At 44.3% G+C, this 13,665-nt stretch overlaps 1 protein-coding gene across 1 annotated transcript; it reads right to left on the bottom strand.

Moving 5' to 3' along the window:
- Nucleotides 1-6,121: 6,121 nt before the first annotated feature.
- On the bottom strand, nucleotides 6,122-13,139 carry RHOXF2 (Rhox homeobox family member 2). The gene is made up of 4 exons (NM_032498.3): nucleotides 12,923-13,139; nucleotides 12,326-12,737; nucleotides 11,349-11,394; nucleotides 6,122-8,294 (listed from the first exon to the last, which is right to left on the bottom strand). The coding sequence occupies exons 1-4, from the start codon at nucleotides 12,999-13,001 to the stop codon at nucleotides 7,965-7,967; spliced, it is 867 nt and encodes a 288-aa protein (NP_115887.1). The 5' UTR covers nucleotides 13,002-13,139; the 3' UTR covers nucleotides 6,122-7,964.
- Nucleotides 13,140-13,665: the final 526 nt, after the last annotated feature.

The following is a 13,665-nucleotide window of genomic DNA, read 5'->3' as shown; positions in this document are numbered from 1 at the left end:
TCTTTTTAAGGTAAACAGAGCTGTTTAAACTGATTTGCCTATAGCTGATTGGTTTAATTTCACTGAATCACGCTGACAAAGATGTAAAGGTTATGTTTGATATTTATGATTAGAGACAGTGTTTTGGGGAAATTGGGAAGAATTAAATTTTGGTTACCTGGTTATGAGTGGTTGGCCTTCGGGTACACCTAAAGTGTGGCTTCATTTTTATCTTTAACAGAAGATAACTGAGCTCTCATTATGTGCTAGGGCACTGTTTAAATTCTGAATCCTGCCCTCTGGTAGGAAGACAGAGATTAAACAAGAGAGCCAATAACCAAACAAAAAAGTAGAGAGACTGCGGGGTTAGGGATTTTAGCTCAGGTGCTTAGAGAGGGCATTTGAGCAGAATCATGAATGCAGTAAAGGAGGCAGCCATGCAAAAACCTGTAGGAAGAGCATTCCAGGCAGAGAGAACAGCCAGTGCAAAGGCCCCAAGGTGGGAAGGAGCTTGGTGTGTTCTCAAGACCCATGTGCTCAGGACCCAGGGGGCAGAGGAGGAAGCAGGGGGAAATGAGGCTAGGAAAGGAGGCAGACGAAGATGGCAGAATAGAAAGCTCCGCTGATCGTCCTCCTGCCACTCTGTGCAAGGACACCAAGTTAACAACTACCTACACAGAAAAAAACACCTTCTTAAAAACCAAAAATCAGGTGAGCACTTACAGTACCTGGTTTTAATTTCGTATCACTGAAAGAGGCACTGAAGAGATATAGAAAACAATCCTGAATCACCAATGCTACCCCTTCCCCACCCTGGCAGCCATGGCATGGTGTGGAGAGTGTTTCTGGGCACTGGGGAAGAGAGAACACAGTTCTTTTGCTTCACAATTCAATTGTGAAGCATTGCACTCAGCAATGTCCTGTTACAGCAGAAAGGAAAACCAGATCAAACTCAGTTGATGCCCACTCACAGAGGGAGCATTTAAACCAGCCCTAGCCAGAGGGGAATCACTGATCCCAGCAGTCTGAACTTGAGTACCTGCAAACCTCACCATGAAGGGCCAAAGTGCTGTCAGTCTCTAAGTAAACTTGAAAGGCAGCCTAGGCCATAAGGACTGCAACTTTTAGGTAAGTCCTAGGGATGAACTAGGCCCAGACACAGTGGATTGGGGGTGGCGGGGCGGGGAACACAACATGCTGAGACACTAGCTAGGACAGCCAAGGGAATGCTGGCATCACTTTTCCCCTAACCCCAGGATGCACAGCTTGTGGCTCTAAAAGAGAGCCCTTCCTTCTGCTTGAGGAGAGGAGAGGGAAGAGTTGGGAGGACTTTGTCTTGCATCTTGGATACCAACTCAGCCACAGCAAGATAGGGCTCCAGTCAGAGTCAACAGGCCCCTGTTCCAGCCCTAGTTCCCAAATGACATTTCTAGACAAACTGTGGGCCAGAAGGGAACCCACTGCCTTGAAGGAAAGGACCCCATCCTGCCAGCATTCATCACCCGCTAACTGAAGAGCCCTTGGGCCCTGAATAACCAACAGCAATGCACAGGCACTACATTGAGGGCCATCATGAGCCTCTGAGACTTGCTGGCTTCAGGTACCAACACCACCACGGGGCCTAGAGCACCAAGCAGGTTCTTGAGGTTCCAGATTCCAGGACTTGACAGCATTTCTGGACCTGCCCCAGGCCAGAGGGGAGCCCACTGCCCTGAAGGATGAGTCCCAGACCAGGCAGCATTCACCACAAGCTAACTTAAGAGACCTTGGGCCTTAACGGAACATTGATGGTAGTCTGTCAGTGCTCCTTGTGGCCAGGGGTGTCAGTGGCTGTGGAGTGAGGCTCCTTTGCCTTTGGAAAGGGGAGGGAAAAGCAGGAAGGACTAGGTCTTATGGTTTCAGTGCCAGCTCAGCTGCAATACAATAGAACACCAGGTAGACTTCGAAGGTTTTTGACTCTAGTCCCTGACTCCTGGATGATACTTCTAGACCCACCTGGGGCCTGGGGGAACTCACTGACCTGGAGGGAAGGACACAGGCCTGGCTGGCTTTGCCACCTGCTCATTGTAGAGCCCAGGGTCTTAAGCAAACAGAGAGACAGTAGCCAGGGAGTGGTTACAGCAGGCCTTGGGTGAGACCCAGTCCTGTGCTGGCTTCAGGTCTGACCCAGCACAGTCATAGTGGTGGTGACCACAGGGGTGTTAATACCTATGTCACTCCACCCCCAGCTTTAGTTGGCTCAGAACAGAGAGAGCGATTCTGTATGTTCGGGAGAAAATAAGAGAACAAGAGGCCAGGTGCGGTGGCTCAAGCCTGTAATCCCAGTACTTTGGGAGGTCGAGGCAGGTGAATCACAAGGTCAGGAGACCGAGACCATCCTGGCTAAACACAGTGAAACCCCATCTCTACTAAAAATACAAAAAATTAGCTGGGCGTGGTGGCATGCACCTGTAGTCCCAGCTACTCGGGAGGCTGAGGCAGTAGAATCGCTTGTACTTACAGTGGAACGTTCCAAATGAACAACAACACATTGAAATACATTTAAAAATGAGGGCTCTTGGTAAAATCCCTTTTGGCTAAGGACGGGTTTGGCACTATGGAATGTTAAGTGCTATTCTCTTTGGATTAATCGGTCTTACACTTTTTGCTGACGGCTATGGGTGACAGGATTAGGCATGTGCAGGACCGTGGGAGATGGGGAGCTTTTTCCTCCCCAGAAGGGGAATCCTGACAGCTGATGGAACTGCTGGAAAAGATCCCTTCACTACTGGCAAGTGGTCCCCTGAACTTTTCATTTTCAGTGTCACTGCAATGAATGAGTGGGTCCTTCTCTGGCCTCTGTGAGCTCTTCACCTTCCCCACCCTGCCACAGGCAATGCTTTTCTCTCTCTCCTTTCCCTTTCTTATCTTTTCTATTACTCAGGGTGACCATCTTGCCCAGGGACGTGTTGAAATTCCTAGTCAGAAGTTGGATTAAAGATGACGGGAGCCATCTAAGGACAAATTTAAGCCTTGCCAGTTTAATATTGGGTGCTAAGCAGAGTAGCTGATGTCTATGTTTCGTCACACATATTTTACTCTGGCCCAAACAGAAAAAGATAATTTTCCTTTGTGTTGTGGCTTGGCCCCCCAGGTCTATGGTGCAGCGAGGTGGGTCACTAGGGCCACTTAGGGCAACGGAACACAGAAGCCTGGCATGCTGGCAAACAGGTAACAATTTCTTACCAGTCAGACTCCTGGCCTCTCTCTCTCTCTCTCTGTGCAAACAGGTTGAATAAATGGTAAAAATCACTGTTACTCTCCTGTAAAGTTTAAATTAATCAGAAAAAGCACTTGTAAGGCTAGTCTTAAGCTGTACCAAATTTGGTATGCTTTGTGTGTCTTTCCATATTTTCTGTCATTAATGAGGGGTACCTTAGGATAGAATACAGGCTTAGGACACCTGTAAGCCCGCTGTTCAAGACAGCCAAGCAAACTGATCACTTATAAGCTTTGCTGCAGGTCCCTGGAAAAAACAAAAAACAAAACAAAAAAAAAACTGGATAAGGTTTCCCTCTTGTCTTGTATGTCCTTGGGAGCTTGACCTTGTAACCATGTGGCCATGCTTTCTCTTCACAATGGCAGCCTGGGTTCAGCGTTCAATTCCTGGCTTGGAAAATGAGTCCTTTAACTTCTGTCTATGGATTTATATGTATTATGTGTTTGATGTTTATATATAAAAGAGCTTTCACTAATTGGTTTAAAAATAATAAAAGCTTAAATAACATATTTTGTCAGAAAAGTAAAAAGTGTAATGCCTTTTAGTTCATGTGTCTTAAGTAATTTTTGGGAAATAAAGAGAGTTTTAAAAATTATTGGTAAAATGAAAATGTCAAATAAGGCAAACGTCGAGCTGTAACCAATCCAGCCATTCTCTATCTCACTTCTGATTTCTGTATGTAGTTTCCCTTTTTTGTCTATAACTCTCCCACCACATGGCTGCACTGGAGTCTCTGTGAATCTGCTGTCATTCTGGGGGCTGCCCGATTTGCAAATCGTCCATTGCTCAATTAAACTCCTTTAACTTTAATTTGGCTGAAGTTTTTCTTTTATCACATGAGAACAGGACTTATAATGAGAAAAAAAATAAGGTGGAATGATGGCATCCTAGGATTGCTGGCTTTAGAGTTGCTTTCAATCATATTCTATTGCTCCACGGTTTTGAATTTGCTTAAAGTTACCTTCTCAAGTACAGGTTGCAAATTGGAAGCTGCATCCTATATCTGGTCTGCAGATCTGTTTCGGATGACCAGTGTAATTTTAAATAAAACATATTTGAATTGATTGCTCAGATCTAAGGATCAGAAGGTTTCATGTAAACACTTATTTCTGGCCAATCTTTACAAACTGGAAAATCTGCCAGATCTGGACCCCAAAGTCCTGACCAGAAAAATTAGGCTGAAGCAGAGTAGTGGCCATTCCCTTTGGGGGAGACATAGCCTTTCCCAGTTTACCAGTCCCCACTCTGCTTGTTTTCTTCATTTATGTTACCTTCCCGGCCCTGTTAGCAGCTAGGTTTTCGACCCTTACTATTTTTTTAAAAATTATAGGAAATGTCCAAAATATATAAAACAAACATAAGATGAACACTCATATAGCCACCACCCACATTCAACAATTATTAATATCCAGTCTTGTTTCATCAGTAGCCTTGCTGATTTCTCCAACATCCCTGCACCCAACCTGGGATTATTTGGAAGCACATCGAGACATCACATAATTTCATCATTAACCATTTCAGGGCATGTTTAAATGATACACCCTTTTTATACAGACAGCCACAGTTATCACTACCATAGCGAAAACATGGAAAAGCCTTTACAAATATCCACTCTGCTCACTTTAAAAAATTCCTCTCCATATTATTCACTTCATTTGATTCCTTTTCTCTGTCAAGAAAGGACAAACAGTAATTGTTGATCTGGGAAAATGGGGTCGAGCATGCATATAAACATGAATGGTACTCCCCACACTCTAGAAAACAATGCGTGAAATGATTTTTTTCATAAGGCATTCATTCCTATTTTTTCTGATTTTTTGAAATATGCCTGATAAACTTTTACCACTAAACCTACTCCAAATACATGAGTCATGCTATTACTGTCATGATTCCATAGGTGAGATGATATGGTTGGGATATTTGTCTCTGCCCAAATCTCATGTTGAAATGTAATCCTTATTTTCCCCAATGTTGGAGGTGAGGCCTGTTGGGACGTGTTTGGGTCATGGGGGTGGAAACCTCATGGCTTGATGCTGTCCTTGCAATAGTGAGCGAGTTATCACAAGATCTGGTTGTTTAAAAGTGTGTGGCACCTCCCACACCCACTCTCTCGCTCCTGCTCTCACCATGTGAGATGCCTGCTCCCAGTCTGTCTTCCACCATGACTGTAAGCTTCCTGAGGTCCTCACCAGAAGCAGATGCCAGCATCACACTTCCTGTTAAGCCTGCAGAACTGTGAGCCAACTAAACCTCTTTTCTTTATAAATTACTCAGCCTCAGGCATTTCCTTATAGCAAAACAAGAATGGCCTAACACATGAGACAGCAGAGATATAGTAGGTTAAGCGACTCATTCAAGGTAACAAAGACAGCGTAGAGCTGCAGCAAGAACCCAGACCACCTTATTTTTAATCAGATCTCTTTCTGTTATACCACATAGGAAAGGTGGAACAACAGGTTATAATAATATGATGATAGGAGATAATATAGAATAATAGTAGAAAACATTTCTGTGTGCTTACTCTGGCTGGGCATTGTGGAAGGCCACTTACATATGTTATTTATCCCTCTCATCAATTCTGTGATATAATATTATCATCTTATAGAGAATAATAATGATACTACAGAGCTTAAGTAAAATGCCCAGGGGGAAACAGCTGGGAAGTGGTGCATCTGGGATTGGAAGCCAGATTGCCCTAACTGTGGCATCCCAGTGCACCACCGCTGAATTAAACTTGACAAAGCATGGGCTCTGGAGGCAGACAAATTTGGCTTCAGATCCTGTTCCTCTGATTAGCTTTGCACCATGGATAAGTTTCCTCTTCTTTCAATGAAGATGCTAGAACCTCACTATTAGGATTCATTTGAGCATCAAACAAAATCATCCAAGGACATTATTTTATTGCTTGTCACATAGTAAAGGCATACAAGACGTTAGCTGCTAATAAAAAGGGAATGAAAGTTTTAAAGGGTACTGTCTCCAGTAATGTTCTCCATCAGAAAAAATTGTAACTTGTTCTCCACCCAGCCCCTTGAACTAGTCCCATTGTATGCTACCTAAACAATGTGTTGTTCAAGGTCAGTAAATGACATCCTAACTATAATTCTACGAATTTGAATTTCTTAAGGTCCAAGAACTCTGCTTTGAAGTTCAGGATCTAGGTTACCAGAGCTAGACAACATCTTGACCTATAATTCTAACAGGTACTTATCAGATACATGAAAACAAATGCCAACTGAGTATAGGAGATCTCATTTTCTACATAAAGGAAACATATATGGCTAAAAATGTCTTTTGATGGTGTAAAAATTTTATGAATCTGATAACCACGGGGAGGGATAATGGAAGTATGATTTCAATCTCCCCTCCTCCCCTTTTACCTTTCTTTGCCTATTTCTGAGTATCTCTAGGCTACCAAATGTTTCAGTCTGAATGTAGAAAAAACAAAATAATGAGCAGGAATAGACCGACTGGCACAAAATGTACCAAATGGAAACAATTTCCAGACGGAATGTACACTGACATGCGCGACTTACTGTAAATAATTATACAAAGCACAATACAATGAGAACAAGAGCAAAAAAAAAAAAAAAAAAAAAAAAGGAAAATCTCAATCGGAGAAGAAAAAAGAATCCACTTGGCCAAGAGGCATGCATTAATGCATAGTGAATTCATGGACTTTCCTTATTCCCACCAAGGCTTGTGGCTTCAGGGGTATGAATAAACCTCCTTCTCCTTGCAAAACCCTCACACCAAATGCAATTGCGTGGCTGAAGCTTGACACCCACAATTGTGAAGAGAGAAGTGGGGAATGAAAAGCAGCAGACAGCCTGACAGAAAGTTCATGCTCACCCAAGAAAATGGAATTTTCCTTCAGGCTGAAAACATAATCATTATGAAACTGGCCATCAAATAATTTTCAGAGAAAATACTGTTGTAACCATCACTCCTTATCTGCAGGCATTGCAATCACTTCACAGGATGACCACAATGTTCATGATCACTTTTTAAAAACTTTTTGGTATATTTTTTCTTTTCTTTTGTTGTGGTAAACCATATAAAAATTTGCCATTTTAGCCATTAAATAAGTGTATAATTTCATGGCATTATTTACACTTACACTTTTACAAGAAAATTACTTTAAAGAAGTCTTCCATAGCAAGAAAAAACTTAATGAATTTTTAAGAGTGGGCATGGCTTCCTTCCCGATACCATTTTGGTTTTGCTGTTTTCCACCCTGGCAGTAACTTGAAACACACTATTCTCTCATTAGGGACTCACACCACCCCATCCTGCACATGTACCTGGTATCAATGGGGGCAGAGAGGAGATGAGTATGGGGTGTTGGGGGTGGGGGTGGAAGAGAATGTCTGGGTCGGTGTAAGCCTGCCATGGGCACATGGGAAAATTCTGTGACATGCACAGCCCCCAGATGGTGACTCAAGATTACTGCATGAGACGAGAGTCCGTGACATTCGGTTTGAATGGCATTTCTTAACAATTTTTATTGAGAACTTACTGACCCCATGTGACACACAAAACAAATGTACATACCCTTCACATATTTATAGAAACATTTTTACAAGTGCCCTAAAAATGGGTCAATGATGTACTTTTCTTTAAAACGTTTAATAGACATTTGATGAACTACTTTTGATGGGGTGCTATGCAAAATATGAATCTGGCTCAAAGACACTCTGGCAAAAAGTGGCACAGAGGCTATCCCTTAGACATTGGGGAATGTGAAAGAAGGCACGATAACAAAAGGGAATGGGCCAAATTCAGCCTGGCCAGCGGGTGGCATAGGTGGAAGAAGCATGAGTGGAAGGGGCAAGGACGGAGGAGGAAAGGGTGGCATGGGGAAACACAGGCTGCTGGAATGGCTGTGGTCCCAGAAGTAATCATCTCTCATCCCGCTGATGAACAAGGGTGCCGTTATGGCCTCAGCTGCGGTTACCATGACAGGCTGGCCCACTGCCATGAAGGGCAGCATGTTTCTTGCCATTAATGCCCTCTGATGTCTCCTCCATTTGGCTCTTCTATTCTCAAACCAAATCTTCAATCAGAGGAAAAAAGAAACAGGTTTAGTATACTGAGCATTTAATTTCATCATGGAAAAAAACACAACAAGCAACTCTCTATGTCCTTAACCTTTTCGGGTGTATCAAGACAAGCTACTTCCTTACTACTAAAATATCTTAGAAAGGTGACCACCACACCTTTCCCCTAGTGAGCTCCAAGTATGTGCTACGTACGCTCTGGCTTGGCTTATTTCTTTGTCTCTCTCCTTTTATCTGTAATATTACTTTTTCCACTCTTGGGTGCAGGTGTAGCTGATGAGTGGGACTCGATCCCTGCTGGTATTGCTATGTGTGGCATGTCTGCTTGCAGATACTTGACCATCAGCTACCCAGCTGCCCACCAACTCCTACTTACTAGGCCACTGTCACCCTGGTCGTGGGGGAAGCTGAGCTTGGAAAAAAAGGCGGGGGTGCCTTTTAAAGTCATACCAAGAAGATGAGGCCCCCGTTTTGAAAAGCCCATCTTCAGTGTAAAGTAAAAAATCGGTAAGAGTACATTGTATTTTAAAACAAGTTTTCTTTCCTTCAAGAAATTCTAAGGGGTCATTCATCTTCTGAAACTCCTTGAGAATTAAAAAGATGGTATATTGCAAGGCAAGTCTCGTTATAGGGGGCCCAGGGAGTTTGTGGATTGTCTTGCTGGGAAATGAGGGTATCTGAAGCCCTGGACACTCTTCACACTTCAGCTTGAAGCTTTGTGGAAGGAGGACACAAATGTTGTCCAAATTCACAAAAATTCTCAAAAAGCTTTGCCCAGTTGAGAGTTTGAGAGAAAGGAAGCATTGCTAATTCTGCACGCTCCAACTCATCCCTCCCTCCAAATCTTCCTGGGCTAAGGACAAGGTCAGCTCACTTTGTTCTCCCTATAGTCCTGGGATATGGGACAGAGACTTGGTTGCCCAGTTCCATGGGACGCCTTCAGCCATCTAGCCTCACTACTCGAGCAGAAGATCCCAATCTCATCAGCATTCCCAAAGCGGGAGTGTCCAAATAGGCAACTCTGAACACGTTCAGTAGTAATGTGGAGGAGGTATCAAAAAACACTACTCCCCAAACACCTGCCAATTGTTAAAAGACCAAAAAATAAAACCTGTCAATTAAACAACACTATCCCCCAAGCTTCTAGTTAATGACATTTCCATTGTATTTTGATCCTTCTGGAAGTTCCCAAACTGCAAATTTTATGGGACAAAGGGACTCTTCTCCCTGTTTGATGCCCCATTTCCTTCTCCCATCTTACTATTTGGAGTCCTTCTCCCTCATGAATACATAGTCTAAATTTTAAGCCTACCGTAATAGTGCTTGTTTAGAGACAATTCCAATGTACCTGTGGTCAAAGGTTCATAAACATAAGCAATGCCAAAAGTGGGCCAAATGTGCTATGGGACAACATTAGGTCCCTAGTCTCCGTATCGGTTTCATAAACCAGCCCTTACTATCTTTACAAAACAGAGGGGGGAAACATCTATTAAAAATTTTTGGAGATATTCATGCTGAAATGTTTGGCAATAGATGAGAACATCATGCCTTTTTCCTTATTTGCTGAGTGAGAGTGGTCCTTTTGCCTTCAGAACTGCATTGAGTGAATGCTATGTAAACCCAGGGAGGGGAAAGGCAATTCACCAAAACGTCAATATTTCATCTCCCCCAAATTGGCATTGCCTGCCTGAGAAAATGGAGGGCAACAGGATGCCAACACTCAGTGCCCCGTTTTGTCAGGCAGCTTTTCTGCATGCCACCATTGACAGAACCGCAGCATAGTTCCCTCACTGCACTCACACACATGAGCTCTGCAGAAAAGCTATTAAGGTCATCCCGATTTTTCTTTCTTTTCTTCCTTTTTTGCAAATACTCCTTTGGATCCACTGACCTACAAATTTATTATCACAGCCTGAGCAAATAAATAAAAAGGTATTTCAAATTACCACAGGTAAGAGTCTAGCCTGACCTGACAGCCATCCCCCACTATCAACACATTCCACAAAACACATCTCTTCCTGTTAGTACAACAAACTGGAAGAAACAAAAAATCTCTTAAATGCTAGAAATTGATCAAGAAAATATTCACTGATGCATTTGGTAGCTTCAAAAGTTGAATGGGGGCAGCTTCCCCAAGCCATGAGTGTGACTGTATACAATTCTTGCCTAACACTTCCATCCTTAGGTTGGTGGAAATTTATGAAAAATTGATCTTGTAGTTTGTTTTGGTTTCTAGATAAACTTGCAAAGGTTGCAAGCCTTTTCGCTATCTCTACCATAATGCAAAACCAACTATGTCAGCAATGTTTTCAGCCTGCCATATCAAAGTATTCCAGAAAATTAAAATTTAGAGCTGCCACTCTCTACAAGGCTTCACCAAATACTTAAAAACAATAGTAGGAGGGCCAGGCGCTTGAACTTTATGCTATCCCCCGCCATCAGTCTCAGCTTAAGGAAACATACGTTCTGGTTGGGAATTATTCCTTTACCCCAATGCCTAAACATTTATAAATTCTTAACCAAAGAGTTTATGCTTGGTTTTAAATATATTAAATAGTTTAGTTTAATGGAGCTCTTTGGAGCATTAGTTCGAATAATCCCCATGTCAGAAAACCCCAGGATGCCTCCACATGGAAGTGCTACCTAAAGGATACCAGTGCTAGGAATTCAATCTTATATATTATGCTATATTTAATTTATACTGTTATATATTATATATATTTGTAATTTGGAATACATATATTTATATATTTGTAATTTATTCAAGTGTATAATATATTTTATACACAAGGAATAAAGGAAACAGTTCAGTACTCATTTTTTTTTCCGTGGATTGTCATGTTCCCTCTGGTAATGGGAAATTTCCACAAGCTGAGCTTTCCTTACTGCATTTTCCAGCCACAAAGATCCCAAAGTTCAGACCTCATTGCCTATACATGAAAAAGGCCACAAAAACACCAAGATGGCAATGTCTGGGTCAAAGTGTGTCCAAGCCCTGAAGCGGGTTTTAGAATGGCTCCCCTGCCCGATTGCTTTTTCGGTTTACTGACCTGCACTGCGAGTTCAGTCACATTCATGCTTCTTGCCAGCCTCCTTCTATGGAAGAAACCACACGTGTTCAGCATTTGGAGTTGTGGGTGTCGTTTCATTCTTGTGTTTAATTTTTTTATTCTACCAACTCCCCACACCCAGTAGGCTGTTCTGTAACACCCAGCTGAGCCTCACATTAGGAACATTTCTCTCATGCCACAAATAAAGGAGATGCCAAAAAAAAAAAAATCAGGGCGGTGGCTCACGCCTGTAATGCCAGCACTTTGGGAGGCCGAGGCAGGAGGATCACTTGAGGTCAGGAGTTCGAGACCAGCCTGGCCAATATGGTGAAACCCCGTCTCTACTAAAAATTCAATAATTAGCCGGGCGTGGTGGCTGGCGCCTGTAATCCCAGCTACTTGGGACGCTGAGGTAGGATAATCTCTTGAACCTGGGAGGCAGAGGTTGCAGTGAGCCGAGATCGCACCATTGCACTCCAGCCTGGGTGTCCCAGCGAGACTCCTTCTCCAAAAAATAAAAAAATAACCCCCCCATAACAAAAAAAATCGTTAATCAATATAAATGACATTCTAACTTACTATTTGAAACTTAGAAAAATTAACACCAAAGGAAACCCAGACGAACGACGGACTTCTCAGAATTTTAAATAAGGTCAGAATGCGACCCTGCACTTGCTGTACAGAACCTTAATCTCCTCATCTTTATTTCTGCCTCGCCTGGGATAGGAGTTATTTATCATAACTGACCTCAGCCCAAAGTTGCCCAACTTGGTTCATTTAAATTCTGCATGATGCCTAATAGGCATAGCCCCACTACAGAACCCACTAGGTGCCAGGGGTCTGCGGGGAGGGGACGGCAGCAACACCAGGCCCCAGATGGGTTTTGGTTCAGGAGGGGAGAGGGTAGGAGAGGGACTGCGGGAAAGCCAAACGCCGCCTCCCTGCAAACCGCGCGCCAACCAGAGCAATGGGCTTACCGCAGGAACTCACTGGGGAACTGCTCGCGTTGGAAAATGCGCTCCAGCTCCTGCAGCTGCAATGGGGTGAAGGCGTGGACGTTGGGCTGCTGCGCGTTGCCAGGCTCCAGCCCCCCGACGGCGCCCTGTGGGCGCGAATACTGCTGCCCAGGTTCCTTCTCGCTCTGGTCGCTGTCCTCAACGTTGCCATCGCTGCCGCTGGTGCCCTCGAGGTCTCCTTCCCATAGGTGGCCAGGAACTCCGGCGCCGCCGCCATCTTTTTCTTCTCCGCCGCCATCTTTTTCTTCTCCGCCTTGGGCTCCTGCCGACTTTAACTTTTCTCCTGCTGCTGTGCCTTGCTCAGGCTCAGGCTGTGCATCCTCTTCCTCCTCTTTGACCTCTTCAGTAAGCGACAGCACCATAGCATTCATATCTGGAAAAGTAGAAACCCCAAGAGAAAGATCAAGGCATTGGTCCTGAGGGTGTTGGAAGGAGGTGGTGAGGGGCTACACTCTGAGAGCAGTGGTAGTGCAGGGGTATCATCCAGTCTACTCGCCTCTCCCAGAGAACCTTGGTTTCCTGAGTTCGCAAAAGCATGTGTCCCATCAAGGTACTGACCCTGTAGTTCTTTCTCGTCGTCGACTGCAGGGCTGAGCAAGCTGGTCATATACTGGCTACACTGGTCCGGAGGCTCCATACCCTGAGTGGTGTGGATGGAGCTGTGCACTTCTGCAGATTCTGAGCTGGGGCCACCACGCTCTCCTAGGCAGTGCTAGAACTGTGAGTCGCCGCCTGCAACGTTCTTCTGGTGTCTAGACTCAGCAACAGTGTATCCACTTAGAGACCTCCTCTCTTGCTTTTCTGCTTCCCGCTATTTGCTGTGGGTTGGGCCTGCTGAGGTGCGCATGCGTCAGGGGCTTGGCCTTGCCCGGATGAGGGAGAGCACGCGTTGGTGGTGTGGGGGGGGAGGGGTAAGTGGTGTAGTAGGGTGTGGGGGAGGGGGGAGTAGGGCGTGGGAGGGGGAGTAGGATGGGGTGCGTGCTTGCATGCGTTGTCCTGTAGACAGGCATGCGTGAGTGTGGAACTTGGGGGAAGCTGCTGTGCTGAATTGTGCAAGCCCATTTTATGGCGATAAGGGAGATTTTGCACTAGCCCCATGCTTCCTAGGTCTCCAGGAGCAGGAGCTTGGGCCTGGATTTGCAAAGCTTGTGGGCTGCGCAAATGCACTATGTAAAAATGCAGCACACTCCTTGAGAAAGTCCACTATTAATTCTTAGTAATGAATCCACATCAAAGTGCAAGGGTGGAAACATGCACAATGATGCTTAGAGCATCCGAGATTGCTTTTCTTTTCTTTCTTT

The sequence above is a fragment of the Homo sapiens genome, chromosome X (genome assembly GCF_000001405.40).
Source record: "Homo sapiens chromosome X, GRCh38.p14 Primary Assembly".
In the NCBI taxonomy this organism is placed as follows: Eukaryota; Metazoa; Chordata; class Mammalia; order Primates; family Hominidae; genus Homo; species Homo sapiens.
Note: the sequence above shows the minus strand (reverse complement) of the source record. Positions and strands in the feature narration are given on the sequence as shown.